The 16,115-nt window shown below is 58.2% G+C and overlaps 1 protein-coding gene across 1 annotated transcript, besides 5 other annotated features; it reads right to left on the bottom strand.

Annotated features, from left to right (window-relative positions):
* Positions 1,914-2,493: a silencer, noted in NCBI's record as "silent region_6353". NCBI's record gives its function as "represses an Ori minimal core promoter by ATAC-STARR-seq in GM12878 lymphoblastoid cells {active_cell/tissue: GM12878}" and the evidence as "EXISTENCE:reporter gene assay evidence [ECO:0000049][PMID:35858748]".
* Positions 3,784-3,843: an enhancer, noted in NCBI's record as "active region_9272". NCBI's record gives its function as "activates an Ori minimal core promoter by ATAC-STARR-seq in GM12878 lymphoblastoid cells {active_cell/tissue: GM12878}" and the evidence as "EXISTENCE:reporter gene assay evidence [ECO:0000049][PMID:35858748]".
* Positions 5,070-14,803, bottom strand: DLL4 (delta like canonical Notch ligand 4). Its single transcript, NM_019074.4, has 11 exons — positions 14,409-14,803; positions 14,027-14,296; positions 13,461-13,518; positions 12,377-12,640; positions 11,912-11,972; positions 11,696-11,826; positions 9,426-9,595; positions 9,026-9,245; positions 7,213-7,915; positions 6,617-6,725; positions 5,070-6,114 (listed from the first exon to the last, which is right to left on the bottom strand). The coding sequence occupies exons 1-11, from the start codon at positions 14,472-14,474 to the stop codon at positions 6,109-6,111; spliced, it is 2,058 nt and encodes a 685-aa protein (NP_061947.1). The 5' UTR covers positions 14,475-14,803; the 3' UTR covers positions 5,070-6,108.
* Positions 5,126-5,942: an enhancer, noted in NCBI's record as "H3K4me1 hESC enhancer chr15:41230399-41231215 (GRCh37/hg19 assembly coordinates)". NCBI's record gives its function as "activates a minimal SCP1, AML or CMV promoter by ChIP-STARR-seq in naive and primed H9 embryonic stem cells {active_cell/tissue: H9 hESC(naive and primed)}" and the evidence as "EXISTENCE:reporter gene assay evidence [ECO:0000049][PMID:30033119]".
* Positions 14,909-14,998: a silencer, noted in NCBI's record as "silent region_6352". NCBI's record gives its function as "represses an Ori minimal core promoter by ATAC-STARR-seq in GM12878 lymphoblastoid cells {active_cell/tissue: GM12878}" and the evidence as "EXISTENCE:reporter gene assay evidence [ECO:0000049][PMID:35858748]".
* Positions 15,592-15,661: a silencer, noted in NCBI's record as "silent region_6351". NCBI's record gives its function as "represses an Ori minimal core promoter by ATAC-STARR-seq in GM12878 lymphoblastoid cells {active_cell/tissue: GM12878}" and the evidence as "EXISTENCE:reporter gene assay evidence [ECO:0000049][PMID:35858748]".

Here is a 16,115-nt window from a genome sequence, read left to right as displayed (position 1 = left end):
TGAGGATGGCAGTTGCTGGTATAGGAATGAAACGGAACAGACTGGGCTTAGTACCATGAGCCTTGCCCCAACACCTGCCACTGTGGGAAAAGGACAGCAATCCTCCAACAAGTCAAATGGCCAGTGCCGGTGTGCAAAACCCCAAGCCTCACCAGGAGGAGGGGTCACTAGAGACAGACAGGCTAGCCATGCCTGGCAGGGCTGTGGCTCTACCCTGCAGGGGGTGCCATGACACGGGGCACTTCTGCGCCAGAGCCGACCTGTTGCTAAATCCGGATTCCTGTGATGCTGGTTACCATCATGAGGGTCTGGCTGTAGACTCACTTGGCTTCTTGGGCCCTGCGTCCTGGCCTCAGAGAAACTTTGGGGATGAAGGAAATAAGCTGAGCCCACTCTTGACCAGAGTGTTAAGGGGTACCATGCCCCAGAGACCAGAGAAAGGTGGTAAAAAGTCACTTGTGGCAGATCTCCAAAGGGAAGGTGACTCTTAAGGACTTGGGGGTCCTGCTGCCCCTTCCCACAGCAAGGGCCTCCCTTCTACCTCTGCCTACATCAGAGGAGGTTGACGTAGATTAGTGATGCTCCTGGAAGGCAGGAGCACATGGAAGTGATGGTGACGGAAACCTGTGATCTCAGCTGCCTTGCTTGGTCCTAGGGCTACTGCTGGTGTAACAGTAGGTAGTAGACAGGCATAAGCAGCAAAGGAGAGGGCCCTCGACCCCCATCAGGAATCTCAGGCAACCGTCAGGTGATGGTCAGGTGGTTGTTACCCTGTCTCTCTAAAATAACAATTGTTGCAGCCCGCACCGGGGAAAGGCAGTCTCTGAATAGAGAGGAACACCTGAAACTGATCAGCAGCTTCCCGACAAGATCTCAGGAGGTGGGCAAGTGGGCTCAAGCGATTACACTAGGAGGCAAAATGGCGGAGCTCAAGTGGTATCTGACCTTCCTCTAGGAATGCTCGAGTATTGAGGGAAAAATGCCTCAGGTGAGCATGTGCACAACTCCAGTAAGCACACTGCACACGCGACCCCTCCCAAGAGCTGGCAGGCCTCAGGCATGCGGACCGCCCATCCTCAGGGAAGAACCAGGGAGGGGGGATGCACGCCAACATAGAAAACCCCAAATCAGAGTTCAAACGCGCACTTGAATCTCTCAAGTCGCCCACTTGACCCTCTTCCAAGTGTACTTTACTTCCTTTTGTTCCTGCTCTAATACGTTGTAATAAACTTTCACTCCTGCTCTAAAAATTGCCCCAGTCTCTCCTTCTGCCTTATGCCCCTTGGTGGAACTCTTTCTTCTCAGGAGGCAAGAACTGAGGTTGCCGCAGACCCCCACGGACTGGATGCTGCTAACACTGGGACTATCCTGCTAGACCCCAACCTCCCTAGGTCCCACCCCGCTGATGCGGGCCGGAGCAGTGGGAGCTCCAGAAAGTGGCTCACTTAGAGATGCGTGAGGAGGATTAACCCACCAGCAGAGGTTACAACACTGCTCACAAACGCTTCCATACATCCTCATTTCAACCCCCCTAGCAACGCCTAACAGGCATTACCCGCAGAGAGGTTAAGGATAAGCAGCTAGATAGTTAGCAGGGAGGTTAAGGATAAGCAGCTAGATAGTTAGCGGCCCTGGGCAGACAGCAAGTCCTGCCTCCAATGCTAATCAGTGTTGAAGGAATGAAGTAGATGGACTTGTCCCAGAGCACCCGGCAATGAGGGGTGGCGCTGGAAGGGAGCTCCAGCCCCATAACTCACACCGGTGTCCGGCCCTCCTCGACCCCATTCTCTTCCCTTGAGGATGTCTCTGGACCAGGATGGCCGGAGGCCTGTTGGGTGGCGAGGGGGACTGGCTGCTGCGACGGCGGGGGCAGGGGAAAGGGCCTGTTCCCCAGGACACTGGGAGGATATTTGGGGGAAAGCCCCGCACTGGGTTCTCCCCATTTTGCCCGCTCGGCTTAGGGGCTCGGAGCCCGGAGGGAGCTCGGGCGTCTGGCCGCCCCCTGCCGCCTTCGTCCCATCGGCCCCGAACGGAGAAAGGGCGGCCCCAGAGAGCCTCCCGGGGTCGGCGGCCCCTCCCGCGCGCAGCCCCGACGGCCGCGCAGCGCCCTCTAGTGCCGGGCAGCGGGGCCCGCGCGGTCCAGCCCGCCTGCCCGCCCGCGGCTCCGCTTCCCGCGGCCGCGGCCGGAGCGAGATTGGGGAGGCAGGAGGCGGAGCCGAGCGGGCGGGGGAGCCTCCGAGAAGCTCGCGGCCTTCGGCGGCTTCCCGGCCCGGGAAGTGAGCCGGGTCGGCTGCCGCAAACAGGAAGTCGGGCTGTAACAAAGAGCGCGGGGGGCGGGGAGCCGCGGGAGCTGCGGGGCACGGCGGCGGCAGGTGGAGGGCTGACCCGGGCGGGCAGGCGCACCTGCCCCTTCCGCCGCCGCGCAGGCCTCGGGGCGCCCTGGGCGCGAGGGAGGGCGCAGCCGCCCAGGGAAGGCCGCTGGGACCTCGCAGGCGCATCCCCGCCCGAGGAAGGGACAGTCACAGTTCCCCCAGTGAATCATTTCCACCCCCTTCCCGGAATGCAGCAAGCCACGTGGGGCGGAGGGCTGGGGCCGCTGATCCTGTGGATCCAGAGGGAGAGGCTGGGAGAGCTGCGGCGAGGGAAGCTACGGAGAGCTCTGTGGGTCCCAGTCAAGAGATGGAGCATCCACACCACCGTGGTTTAGTCTGGTGGCCTTTTCTAGCCTGGGATGGGGGAGGTGGGAGCCACTGTCCTTTTTTCCCTACCCCCTGACCAGGCTGACCCTGGCCCTGAGGCAGGAGAGGAACCCTGGCTGAGCAAGCAGGATAAAGTCATTTCTCCTTCTGCACAACCCCTCCCTGACTCTACCAGCCGAGGGGCCCTGGAAAAGCAGCTGTCCTCAGGTCACCGTGGGGTCAAATTGATTCTCCAGGCAGGGCACTGGCTCCAGGCTGTTAAGGAACTACTAAACTCCGAATTCCCTGGTGAAATACCCATGCAAATTAAAGGTGGGCATTTGCTAACCTGTGGAAGGCACCTCACAGTGAGTCTAGAACCATTATCTGGCCTCCTTTCTGCCAAGCCTAGGAAATCTCCTGTACCCCAGGACACTCAAGTGATCATGAGGGTCTTGGGTGCCTTACCTATCAGAAGGGGCTGGACTCTCAGGAAATCCTGGGGAGAAGGGGCTTCCTCCGCTGTGGCCTGTTTACACCCCAAGTGCCTGCCCAGCTTGTGGGATGTTGTTAAAGGTGGAGCCTGGCATGAGCTGCAGGTCGGAGCTGCCCAGACCAAGTTCCCCACGGGTCCCCACTTTCCCCAGAAAGCCAGCTTTTTTGGTGGGCTCTCCAGCTCCCCATCTAGTGCATCAGAGCAGCTGTGAGCTTTGCCAGCCAACTCCTCTCCGGGGCTCTTCTCTGCGAGTCTGGCAGCCTGTGCAGCCCGTCACAGCCTGGTGTTGTGGACGTGCAGGGCTGCGGGTGTCCTACCTGTCCCCCACATGGGAGCCTCGTCATCTTGCCTTCGTGTCCCAGCCCAGTTCCCCCCTCCCGTACACCCCTAGGGCCTGGGAGCTGCTTTCCTGTTTCATTTTGGGCAGGAAGAGTGAGGTCGTGTTGTTCTTCCCCCTGCTGCCGGCTCAGGCTGTGGGAACGGTTCCCTGAATGCTTTCCTGTTTGATACCCTGTGTGTACAGTGAAGGGAACAGGGAGCGATGAGTGAGGCGTGGAGCGTGTGCGTGCTCCTGTGTCTCTGGCATAAGCACCCAGGTCTGGGGTGGGCATGGTGTGTCTGTGTCAAGGAGAGAGGAAAAAAGGGAGGGCAAGTAGCACTCCAAACCCTTGGACTCCATTAGGAGCAGGGCATCTAATGGGTCTATTTTGCTTTACTGTGGACAGGCTGAGAGCTGGGAGCATCTGCTCAGCTTTTTGTCAGTGGCTCATTTTTTCATAATTTGCTCTCCATGGAGGAGCATATTTTCGGCTATAGAGAGGGCTGTGGCACCCTAGGGACTATCCTGTGCCTTAGAGGAAGCTAGGCATGAAACTCCTAGTGAGACTGGAAACCCCCTCATTAGTGCCTCAGCAAGAGAAACCTGGACTCAGGGAAGGCTACCTCCTCCTCCCCTTTCTCCCTGTCTTTGCAGTCTTCAATAAATTCTAGCAGCCCTGGGCAGACAAGGTGCTCAGACTCTCAGCGCTCTTGTCTGCTACAAAGAGGAAAAACAAGGCAAACCTCCCTCCTGCCCTGTCTCCTGAGACCTGTACCCTGCTGGGGCTAAGAAAAGAGCCAGGCACCCTGCAACAGCAGGAGGAAGGACTCAGATGTCACCAGGGTGCAGAGGCCCTATCCCATCCACCGACGAGAGAATGCTTTTTTTTTTTTTTTTTTTTTTGAGATGGAGTCTCGCTCTGTCGCCCAGGCTGGAGTGCAGTTGCGCTATCTTGGCTCACTGCAAGCTCCACCTCCTGGGTTCATGCCATTCTCCTGCCTCAGCCTCCCGAGTAGCTGGGACTACAGGCACCCGCCACCACACTGGGCTAATTTTTTGTATTTTTAGTAGAGACGGGGTTTCACCCTATTAGCCAGGATGGTCTCGATCTCTTGACCTCGTGATCTGCCCGCCTTGACCTCCCAAAGTGCTGGGATTATAGGCGTGAGCCACCGCTCCCGGCCAAGAGAATCCTTTTGAATATGAGAAAAACAGGCAGAACTAGGGAGCCCCATAAGCTTTTTCAGGCTTGAAGAGAGGAAGGAAGAAGTGATTCAGGTCAGGAGGAACATGCCCCAGGAATGGTGAGGGCATAAAGAGGGAAGGGGGCACTGTACCAACTCAAAGTCAGCAGGCAAGGAAGGCTGGCTGAGGCTGGGGACTAGATGGGTGAGGCTCGGCTCCTCAACGAATGGAAGAAGACAAGGGCCTGGGGTACGACATGCCAAATCCAAGTGTCTGCACGGGTCCCAGGGGTTCCGGCGGGGCACATGGCAGCAGTAGAAGGGAGTTTAGAGTTTTTTGGGTGAGAGGGCAGGGGTACCATCACAAAGACAGGACCCAATAAGTAATAAACTCCTGTACACATCTGTTTCATATTATAAATACACATTATATACAAAATAATGTTATAAAATGTAGAAAGGTCAGTGCTTCTGATTCTTAAATTATTGAAATACTAGACTCCAAAATAAACTACAAAAAAAAAAAAAAAAACAAAATAAAAACTCATATTATTGATTTCTGAAGACCAGCTTTGAGGGTGGTCTGGGGCAGTAGTGGACCAGAGCCCAGGCTCGAGGTTGTGGAGATGGGCTTGAGGGAGGAAAGGGCCCAGGCGGCCGCAGCACCTGATTTCCCCCTCAGTGGAATTTCCAACACACTGCCCTGAGTGCCCCAGTTAGGCCTGGCACCCTTGGCTGGTGGGAGGGGCAGGCCCTCTGCCTGTCTGCTTACAGAAGCCCAGGGCCAGAGGGTGGTGGAAGCCGGGTAGACGGACATTCTTGCCCAAAGGGCCTAGACCAGAGAGCCAGGCCTGCATACAGTAGTTGGAGGCATGGGGCAGAAAGCACTCCCCTCCCTCGAGCACTCACCTCACCTCCAGGGCAAACCCCAGCAAGAGACGCACCCAGTGGTTTTCCAGCCCACAGGAGGCCCTGCCCTCATTGGCCCCCTCTCTCCTTTCTGATTTGGGCCCAACTGTCGCCGTGGAGCCTGGGCCAAAGGCACTTTTGGAAACACGGATGCCAGTGGAGGCCACAGCAGCTCCGGGCCCCATGGGGCTACTGCCACTCTCTCTGGAAAACAGGCCGGAGCCCCGGAAGGAGCCCCCTGAAGGCCACTACTGGCAGGGCAGTGCCCAGTGGCATCTCTCTTCTCTTCTGTTCCTCTGGTTGGTGCAGCTGCCAATCTGATGCCAGACAGACACCCAAAGGTGTGGAAGGGTATTGCATCTCTTGGCAAGTTCACAGTCTGTCCGGTTCCTGCCATTCCCTCCTCCTCCTGAGAGCAGCACGTTGCATATGAAAAACGTCCCATCCAGGATGCAATGTAAACAATGCAGAAGGAAGGTCCAGCCGCGGGGCTGAGCAGGGATGTCCAGGTAGGCTCCTGCCTTATACCTGGGAGCAAGCGGAAGGCAGGGAAACAGGTTACCCTGGGCATGCGCACTCCCTCCAGGCCCTCCCTGGGCCTCCCTGGGAGAAGGCGATGGGGCAGGCAGGGGCTAAGGGCAGGTGGGGCAGTCCTCCCCAGTCTTCGGCCCAACACACACACGGGCCTGGGAGCTTGCGCTCATGAGGTCAATGGAGGAAGCCAGTGGGAAGGGGCAGGAAGGGCACAAGGGGTGAGGGGCCCCCTCACCCATCAGAGGCTGGCCAGCAGTGCCGTGGCTGCCCAACCCAGCACCAATACAGCAGGAAAGGACCAGACCAGGCTTGCCGCCATGGTTCCTGTTTCACACCCTTAGTGGCAATGAGGCCAGCAGGGACCCAAGAGTCCACTGAACTTGGCCTGCCAAGGCAGGGTTCTGACCTACCCTTCAGGAATGGCCCATGGGTCAAGAGTGACCAGGCCACTTTCCCTCCCACAAAAGGCAGAAGGAAAGGCGAGCCCAGCACTCACCTCCGTGGCAATGACACATTCATTCCTCTCCTCTGATATCAAACACACAGACTGGTACATGGAGTCCCTGGGGGAGCATATCGCTGATATCCGACACTCTGGCTTTTCACTGAGGGAACACAAGACAGGCGTGTAAGGGAGGGACGGGGAGAGGCTTGGGGGGAGGGAGGACCCTGGAGAGCCAAAGGGCATCTGCAGGGTGGTTCTTGGGGAAGACACAGGGGCTGGACGTGCCCAGTGCTGGGCTGCTGCAGGGGGGCACTTAGGAAAAGGCCCCTAAGAGAGTCACAGGCCTCCCAACCTCACCAGAAGGGTCTGAGCCCTGCATAAAGCCAGTGCTGCCACTAGAGGCAAGCCACACTGTGGAAAGACGGAAGTCACAAGAGACACCCTAGGGACACTTGACATGTGTGAATGAACAAATGAATGAATGGGAGGGAAGGACAAAGGACCCCTGACAGAAATCCTACTGGAGGATCTTCCTGTCAGTAACAAAACCTCAGCTGCTTAACTGCTTCCCGCCTGGCCTAAGAGGAGCCTAGGCAGAACCATGTCGGGGCCGGTGGCCAGGCCCTGGGCTTCTGGGTGCCACTCACCTGTGTAACCGCAGTGGCGCCTTCTCTCCTAAGCTCTTGTCACTGTGGGGAAACTTTCCTGGCATGGTCCCCCGCCCCAGGGGCCCTGGGGCCAGATTATAGTCCAATGTGTGGTTTTGCTGTTTGCCACAGTTGGACTTGTCCAGGCCACAGTCCACTTCCAGCTCCTTCTTCTGGTTTGTGTTTTTAAGCTGGGCGGCAGGAATCAGGTTGTCCTTCTGGAAGTCCGACAAGTTGTTCATGGCTTCCCTGCTGCCGTCGTCCGGCCGTCGAAGCCGCAGCTGCCGCACAGCCACTGCCACCATGCCCAGCAGTACCAGCAGCACTGCCAGCCCCACACCCAGCGAGACGGCCACCCAGGGGAAGCTGGGCGGCAAGCCCACGGGGAACTCGCAGCGGCTGCCCACAAAGCCATAAGGGCAGTTGCACACAAAGGTGTCTGTGGAGAGGTCGGTGTAGCAGGTGGCCCTGTTGAAGCAGGGACTCGAGGCACAGGCATCGATGGATGTCCGCACCTCACAGCGTCGGCCAGAGAAGCCGGCAGGGCAGGTGCACATGAGCCCATTCTCCAGGTCATGGCAAGTGCCACCGTGGGCGCAAGGGTTACGGGCACAGTCGCTGACGTGGAGTTCACAGTAGGTGCCCGTGAATCCAGGACGGCAGCGGCACATGCGGCTTGGACCTCGGTTCAGGCACTGTCCCCCTGTGAGGACGCATGAGACACAAGTCAGTGATAGCCTGGGAGCTCCCTGGGGCAGGGGGTGGGAGCCCCATTCCAGGAACACGTTCGGGCCCTTCTACCTCCACCTGCAGAGCCCACTACAAAGAGAACTGCACAGAGTCAGGAGACCTGGAGTTTAGCATGACCTTGATTCTCTCGGCCTCAGTGGGCTCATGTATAAAAATGACTAGCATCTTACAGAACTTTAACGTAGAATCAGACAGATAGGCTTGAGTTGGGACCTCAGCTGTCACTCTGTGGCCTGAGATCTGGCACTTGCTGCTTAACCGTGTCTCTAAGCCTCAGTTTCCCCATTTGTTAGACTGGAGTAGAATGCTAGCCCCTTCATAGGATAGCCGGGAAGGTACATGAAGGCAAGAGCCCATGTTTGGTATATAGTTAATGCTCGGATAAGTACAATCATGACTGTTTTACTTCATCTTCACAACCACATGAAGGACAGAGGACAGGTATTATAGTTTCCCATTCAGTGATGAAGAAATGGCAGTGCCAGAGGCTTCAGTGAGAGAGCAGACTCCCTCTCAGCCCTTCCCACCCCTCTCCAGCTCCTGAGCGCTGCCTGCCTGCCTGCCTCACAGAGGGTCACCTGGGAGCCAGATAGACAAGGATTACCAACAGGCTTTGTGCCTCAAAAGGTGCAAACATTCAAGATGCCTCATGCTACCTCATGCTCTACCTGGGCACGGGGCAAGATGAGGCCTCCAGGAGCAGGGCTCTGACTGAATCACTGCCTCCTTTGAGGAGAAACATGAAGCCTCCAACATCCCTCTCTCCAGCTCAGGACTTCCTGGGGAGGGTCAGAGGCCACCCCAGCCAGGACGGGGTTCTGACATGGGAATAGGAATGGAAGCTATGCAGGGTGCATACCACCCCTGCTCCTAAGGCCTGCGTGCAACTAACCAGCTCCGCTTCCACAGCCCCCCAGCTGATCAAGCAAGCTCTTCGCCCTCCAGAGCAGATGGGGGGCCAGAGTGGCAGACAATGCCTCGCTCCTCTCCTGACCCTCCCTCACCAGAAGTCTCTCTCAGCCCCAGGGCCAGTCCACCAGGTTAGCAGGGCAGCAGCACGCACCGTTGGCACAGGGGTTGCTGGTGCACCTGTCCACTTTCTTCTCGCAGTTGGAGCCGGTGAAGTTGGGGGGACATTCACAAGCATAGTTGGCCCCCTGGTTGCGCTCCCGGCAGGAGCCCCCATTGAAGCAGGGGGAGTCGGCGCAGCTCAAGGTGCTGTGTTCACAATGCAGGCCATAGTAGCCCGGAGGACACAGGCAGTGGTAGCCATCCTCCTGGTCCTGGAGAGAGACCATAAAGGGGCCAAAGTCAGACCCTGGGGGGCAGGGATGTGTGACTGAAGGCTGGGCTCCACCTGCCCACAATGCCTGTCCATGGCTGTACATCCACTAACTGCCTAGGTTAGGGATGCCCAGACACCACCTGACACCTCTGTCTTCCTGCGCTGGTCTGGGCCTCACCTTACAGCTGCCTCCATTGCGACAGGGGTTGCTGTCACACTCGCTGAGCTCCAGCTCACAGTCCACACCAGTGTAGCCTGGGCGACAGGTGCAGGTGTAGCTTCGCTGCCCACTGTTGGAGCACGTTGCCCCATTCTTGCATGGGGAGTGGTGGGTGCAGTAGTTGAGATCTGCAGAAACAGGAACCAAGCAGCTGAGCAGGGCCAGGGAATGCACTCACCTCCAGGCTCCTTGCAGTCCATGTTTGCCCCCATGTTTGGCTCAAAGACACCTCAACTCAAAGTCTCCCAGGCCCAAACATCCTTCCTCCACCACCAATAAAATCTTTTTTCTTTCTCTTTCTTTCTTTCTTTCTCTCTCTTTCTCTTTCTTTCCTTCTTTTTTTTTTTTTTTTAACAGAGTCTCACTCTGTCGCCCAGGCTGGAGTGCAGTGATGTGATATAGGCTCACTACAACCTTCGCCTTCCGGGTTCAAGCGATTCTCATACCTCAACCTTCTAAGTAGCTGGGATTACAGGCATGCGCCACTGTGCCCGATTAATATTTGTATTTTTACAGGGGTTTCACCAGGATGGCCAGGATGGTCTCGAACTCCTGACTTCAAGTGATCCACCTACCTCGGCCTCCCAAAGTGCTGGGATTACAGGCCATCGCACCCAGCCTAAAATCATGTTTCTTTTTTTTTTTTTTTTTTTTTTTTTTGAGACGGAGTCTTGCTCTGTCACTCAGGCTGGAGTGCAGTGGCACGACCTCGGCTCACTGCAAGCTCTACTTCGCCATTCTCCTGCCTCAGCCTTCCCAGCAGCTGGGGCTACAGGTGCCTGCCACCACACCTGGCTAACTTTTGTATTTTTAATACAGACAGGGTTTCACTGTGTTAGCCAGGATGAAAATCATGTTTCTTAAAGCACCTTGAATCACATATGACCAGTGCAGTCAACCAAAAGTGAAACAACACAACTGGAACTGGAAGACGTCCTGCCAGGGAAACTCACAAACTGCCAACCCAAGTAGGATGAAGATAAGGAAGAAGAGCAGAGGGCAAGGCCACATGTCGGGGAGGAAGTCAGAAAAGGCTTCATGGAGGAGGGGCAGCTGAGATAAGCCTGGAAGGAGGGATAAAATTTCAACAGGTAGAAATGGTAGAGGAGAGATGAGAGCCACCATAGGCAGTAATCGGGCATTTTTTAAAGGAAGAGGTGTTACAAGGGTATTTTGAAATATAAGTATTTGTTTTTTTATTTGGGAAGGACAGGGAGGGAGAACCAGACAGAGTAAATATATGGCCTGCAAGTGCTGTGTTTGCATATGATGAGTATATGACTGTGTCACCTGGGAGCAAATATGGTGGAGAGGGAAGAGAATGAGCAGGAACCAGGTGTGTGAGTGTTGGGGTGGGGATGGTAGTAAAGGGACAGACACACACACACACACACACACACACACACAACACAGGGACTGAATCCCAAGCCCCTTGTTGACAGCAAGTCAGGGCCTAGGCAATTTCTTTCCACCCTGGCAAGCTCTCTGCCCACCCTACCCAGGCCTGCGCCGGTGTCTCTGGGCAGCAGGTGCACCCATTTGATCCTGAAAATGGGAGCTGCAGCTGGCTGCAGCTGGCTAGCAGGATGCAAGAAAAAAGGCTTCCTCCTCCCCCAAGGTTGGGGCTGAAAGGCCCCTGTATAGCCAGAGAGTGACTACCCCTAAACACCAGGTAGAGACCGCATGGGTTCAGGCAGGTGGTAACTAGGTAAGAGCAGGGGAGGCCGTTTGTGCCCACACCGAAAAGTCGGTTAGATGCCACTCCGCCCAGAGGCCCAGCTCACCCACAGCCTCAGGTGGCCGGTGGGCACACCCCACCGGACAGCTGTTTAGGGGAGAGCTGCTCAAACAGCCCTGGAAGGTAAGCAAACACTCAGGGGGTTAATAGGTAACTACGGGGTTGAAAGAGGAACTGAGCCTGCCATCCCTCTCTCTTTGGCTTTGCTAGGATTTATGAGTGCAACCTCCAGGCTGCCGACCTTGTCACCCCCCTGGGTTTTTCAGCCACCCTGGCTCCACCACCCCCTGCCGCCGCACCTGGAGAAGGACCCACCGCCTCATTCTGGGCCAGTTGTAAAGATCCTTAAAAGACCCAAGATCCTTGGAAGATCATGGGAAAGCCAAGTCTGCAGTCACCAAGTAAGAAGGATCCAGGTGACGAATCGGATTTCCACCCCCCAGCCCCATATCTCTTGCACCCTCTGCACCCTCTCTTCACCCTGACTCACCTTGGTCACAAAACAGGCCTCCCCAGCCCTCATCACAAGTACATTGCCAGGGAGTGCTGCAGGTGCCGTGGCGACAGCCATTGTGGGGGATGCATTCGTTACACAGCCGGCCCTGCCAGCCTGGGCGGCAGCTGGGGAACAAGAGAGAGGCAGAGTGAGGTGAGAGGCCTTGGCCAAGGGAGGGCTCCCACTCACCACTTCCTGTCCCCTACTCACAGGCACTCTGCTGGCTTGCTGCAGTAGCCATTCTGTTCATGACAGCCCGAAAGACAGATAGCTAAGGGAAGAACACAGAGCTGGGTGAGGCTGGGATACCAAGGACTCTTAAGCCCCATTCTCACCTGCTGGCCCTGGGGATCCCCTAGCTCTCCTGGGCCCTCTTCCTACTCCTGGCCTCCCAGAGGAGCCCCGAGTGTCTTAAAGTGAAATAATGGCACAGGGAAGGAGAAGCCAAACTGGATGGAATGTCATGATGGGGTTCTTGTGGGCTTTGGCATGATGGGAGGAGCACTGGGAAGAGACAGGAGGTCTGAGGTCAAGCCCACCCTCAGCATCCCTGAGGCCCAGCTAGTAGGAGGCCCAGACCCACTCTTCAAGGGAGGCAAGCTGTGACCAAGAAGCTCCACTGTGTTTCCTCAGGGGACCCTCCCCTTCCACACAGGTGGGAGCTTGACTGCTTACGCTGTTGGCAATATTCCCCAGTCCAACCGGGCAGGCAGGACAAGTTGCCATCTGGCTGGCACACATAGTGGCCGAAGTGGTCATTGCGCTTCTTGCACAGGCGGGAGCAGTTGTCTCCATAGTAGTTGTCACTGCAGATGACCCGGTAAGAGTAGCGCAGCCTTGTGAGGGTGCTGGTTTGCTCATCCAATAACCAGTTCTGACCCACAGCTAGGGAGCCCTGGATGGCGATCTTGCTGATGAGTGCATCTGGTGGCAAGGCCTCTGAGGGGGCAGAGGGTCGGGTCAGGGAAGGGTCGCCAGTCCCCAAGGGTGCCAGTGACGGCTGGCCAATGTCCTTCTTGGCTGTGATGATGGTGATCAGCCAACCAATCAGCCCAGTTATCCAGATGACCCCCGCCTGCCAGCAAGAACAGGCCAGAGGGACCCAAAGCCCCGCTACGTAGCTGCCCTACGTGTGTGCATGTGCAGGGGGCCTGATAGTATTCAAAAAGGGGACAATAGAAGGATGTTAAGATATCCCAGGGTCTTGGAGGCAGATAGGGAGGGGAAAGAGGAAAAGAGGTCAAAATGGAAAAAAGAGAAAAAGAAAGAAAAGCTCCCCAGGCTAGAGAGGACCCTGGGAGCAGGGGGTCCTTTGGTGCCCATTCAGGGGTTCTGCCTCCAGAGGTGGGTAATGGTTTTCTTTTTTCCTTTTCAAAGTGAGAATTGTTGTGCTGCTGAAATATCCTTTTCCTCTGTGTCAGAACAACATCCCAAAGCCATTATTCCCTTTCCAAAGGAGCGGAATTCGCGAAAGGTGTAAAATACAGGAAGGGGCCCGTCAGCGGCGCTGGCAGCTTCAGCCTTTCTCACCGCCGTACTCCCCGCGTTCCCACGCCAAAAATAACCCGCAGGAAACGCAATTGTGCTCTGAGTCCAGGCAGCGAGCGGAATCCGAGCGTCCAGCGCGGGGCGCAGCTCCAGGCCAAGCTAAGCGTCCTGCCTCCCACCCCCAAGCCCGCACTTCCCCCGCCTAGAACAGATTAACTCTTTCGGCGCTGCGCCGTGTCGCCCCCCTGTGGTGGCGGAGCGAGCTACTCACCTGGCCGCAGGTCGTCTCCTGGCGCGTGCCAAGCTTCGATGATGAGCGAGAAGGTACCCTGGGAAAGGGGGTGGGGGGACGGAGAGATGGCGAGATGAGCAAGCGGGGAGAGGTGGGGGTGCCTTGCGGCAGCCTGTTTAATTAATCTAATTGCAGGATTCAGTTACTGCGCCCGGGTCAACATAACGGGGCTGTGCACAGTGTAGCGCTTGAGCAGGGAAGGCGAGAGGAGAACCCCCGGTAGAGGGAGGGTTGAGAGACGGGAGAGTGTAAGGGAGAGCCACTGGAGGAGGGGGTGGTAGGGTACCGCCCCAGAGTGGTAGGTAATGAAAATCGTGTCCCAAGAGCTGGGGACGGGAGGACATAAACTGGGAAGACGGAGACTGGTGAGAGCCTTTTCTGGGATCAGTCTCAGGAGAGAGTCGGGAAGAGCCAGGAAAGAATGCATCCTGGGCTTTTTGGGGGTGGGGGTGTGTGTACAAGGAAATCTGGGGAGGGGGCTTTGGTCCCAGGGCGCCTCCTCTCTCGGCTTCTGCGACCTCCCAGTGCGCCCAGGCTGTGCTCACCGGCCAGGTGAAATTGAAGGGCAGTTGGAGAGGGTTGCGCCCCCCGCCGCTACTGTCGTCCCGGACAGCGAAGGAGTTGGTGCCCAATACCGGCGTGGAGACGGTCCCGAAGGTGCAGGGTCCGGGCGAGACGACCGCCTGGAAGTGCTTAAGGCAGACGCGGAAGAAAGTCCGGCAGCCGGGCTCGCAAGGCCGCCCACTGGCCAGTACGCCGCGCTCGTTGATGAACTCCTGCAGCTGCAGCTGGAAGACGCCGGAGCCGGCCGCGCGCTATTGCACAGGGACCGAGGGAAGGAGGGAGGGGACCGGTCAGCTCAGCTGGTGCCCGGGGCTGAGGCCCAGAGCGCGGCAGAGGGGACGGAGAGGGCGCGGGACGTGTTACCTGCTGCCAAAGTGCCACCAGCAGCAGTAGCGCCCAGCCAGAGGCGCTCCGGGACGCTGCCGCCATCCCCTCGGGCGTCGCTCTCTCCACCCGCGGGCCCTCAATCTGGCTCTGTTCGCGACGCCGCTTTCCCGCGCGTCCGCCAGCCGGCGGGGTCCCTGAAAAGAGGCGCTCCTCTCGGGACGCTGCTCCCCTTTGGCCTTCTCGCTGGCTCCGCTGCAGCTGCCGCTGTAGGTAATCCAGGTGACTACGGCTGGGCGGCGACCGCGCCGAGGACGCGTCTTCTGTCTAATCCTGGGGCTGCAAGCGGGCTAGTGCCGGTGTACGCTGCACCAAGGCGGCTGGGGCTGCGGCTCTTGGCCTCGTGTTCCCGGCCTGCGCGCAGCGCCGCTACTGAAACCTGCGCGCTGGGGGCCTTCCTTATATATATTGGCTCCTCTCCTCGCCGCCTGTCACTCAGACTCATGGTCATTCTCCCCTCCCCTCCCGGCCTCTAGCTGCTACAGTCCCAGCGCCGCCCGGAGGGGGCCTCCGCCCCCGCCGCTCCCCCCTCCCCGTCAGCCAGTCGGGCGCAGGTCCCCGCCCCTCCGTGCCGCTCCCAACCTCTAGGTCCCCCAGCTCTGCGCGTGCCGAGGTGACCAGTCCTCCGTGATGGCGGGGTTAAGGGCTGAGACCCTGGCCGCCGGAGGATAGAGGGGTTGCCCGGTAATGGGGCAGGAGGTGAGTGGGTGGTTCGGGGATGGTCTTGGGGGCGGAGACACTAGGCAGTCCCTGTAGGCTGTGCATCCGCAGCAGGCGCTAGTTACCTAGTGTTCCAAAGCAGGTAAAAAGAACTTAAGCCCGGAATGCAAAAACCAGCGCTAGGGAAATCCGATCTCCTTTTCCTTCCTGGAGCTTCTGGAGCCCTTGTCTCAACGGCCCCCAACCTATGAGTGCCCACCCACCACGCGTCCCCAGCGCAGCAGGGAAGCCAGCAGAAGCGTTAACCTCTCTGTGGCCACTCTGAGCAAGGCTAGGGGCTAAGGGTCTAAGGCTCGGGGCCCTCTCTGTGCACCTGTTGGGCGTCTCCCTCTCTAGCTAAGGGGGGGCGTGCCCAGCGCGTGCCTTCTCCCTTCTGCCCCCTGCCAGGGCTTGGCGCGTGCCAGAGACCCAGACGCGCGGTCCCTGAGGTGGGGGAGGGCGGGGCGTGGTCCCGGAGGTAGGAGGGGGGCGCGTCCTCAGCTGTATGGTAATGAGGTTCTGGCCCCGCCTCCAGCGCGTCCCCTCACCTGAGTCCAGCTTCAGTTCCTGCGCCCACTGCCTCCCCCCACCCCAGCAGCCCCAAGCCCCCGGCCGCGCCCTGTCGCTCAGCTGGGGCAAGGAGGAACTCTCCTGACGCCAGAGTTGGCTCAGGCCACTGGAGAATCAAGGTGAGGGACTGAGGCCGGGTCGGCCCGGGTCCTCGCCTCATAAGGCGGGATGTGGGGTGGAACTGGAGGCTTGCGGAGCTGTTTGAGTTTCAGGCGGCTTCCCAAGTCTCGCCCGAGAGGGTCCCCTGGGTGGCCCCACTCCTCCAAGCGGCAGCAGCGCAGCTGCTTTCTCGGAACCCGGCGTGATCCCCGGAGACCGCAGACCGGGGAGGGCCGGCTTCTCCCAGTCTCAGGGGTGCCGGGGAGCTCTCTCTTTGCGACGCCGAGGGCAGCGGGGGCCCTGTGGCTTCAGCTGTCA

This window comes from Homo sapiens, chromosome 15 (genome assembly GCF_000001405.40).
Source record: "Homo sapiens chromosome 15, GRCh38.p14 Primary Assembly".
NCBI classification, from domain to species: Eukaryota; Metazoa; Chordata; class Mammalia; order Primates; family Hominidae; genus Homo; species Homo sapiens.
Note: the sequence above shows the minus strand (reverse complement) of the source record. Positions and strands in the feature narration are given on the sequence as shown.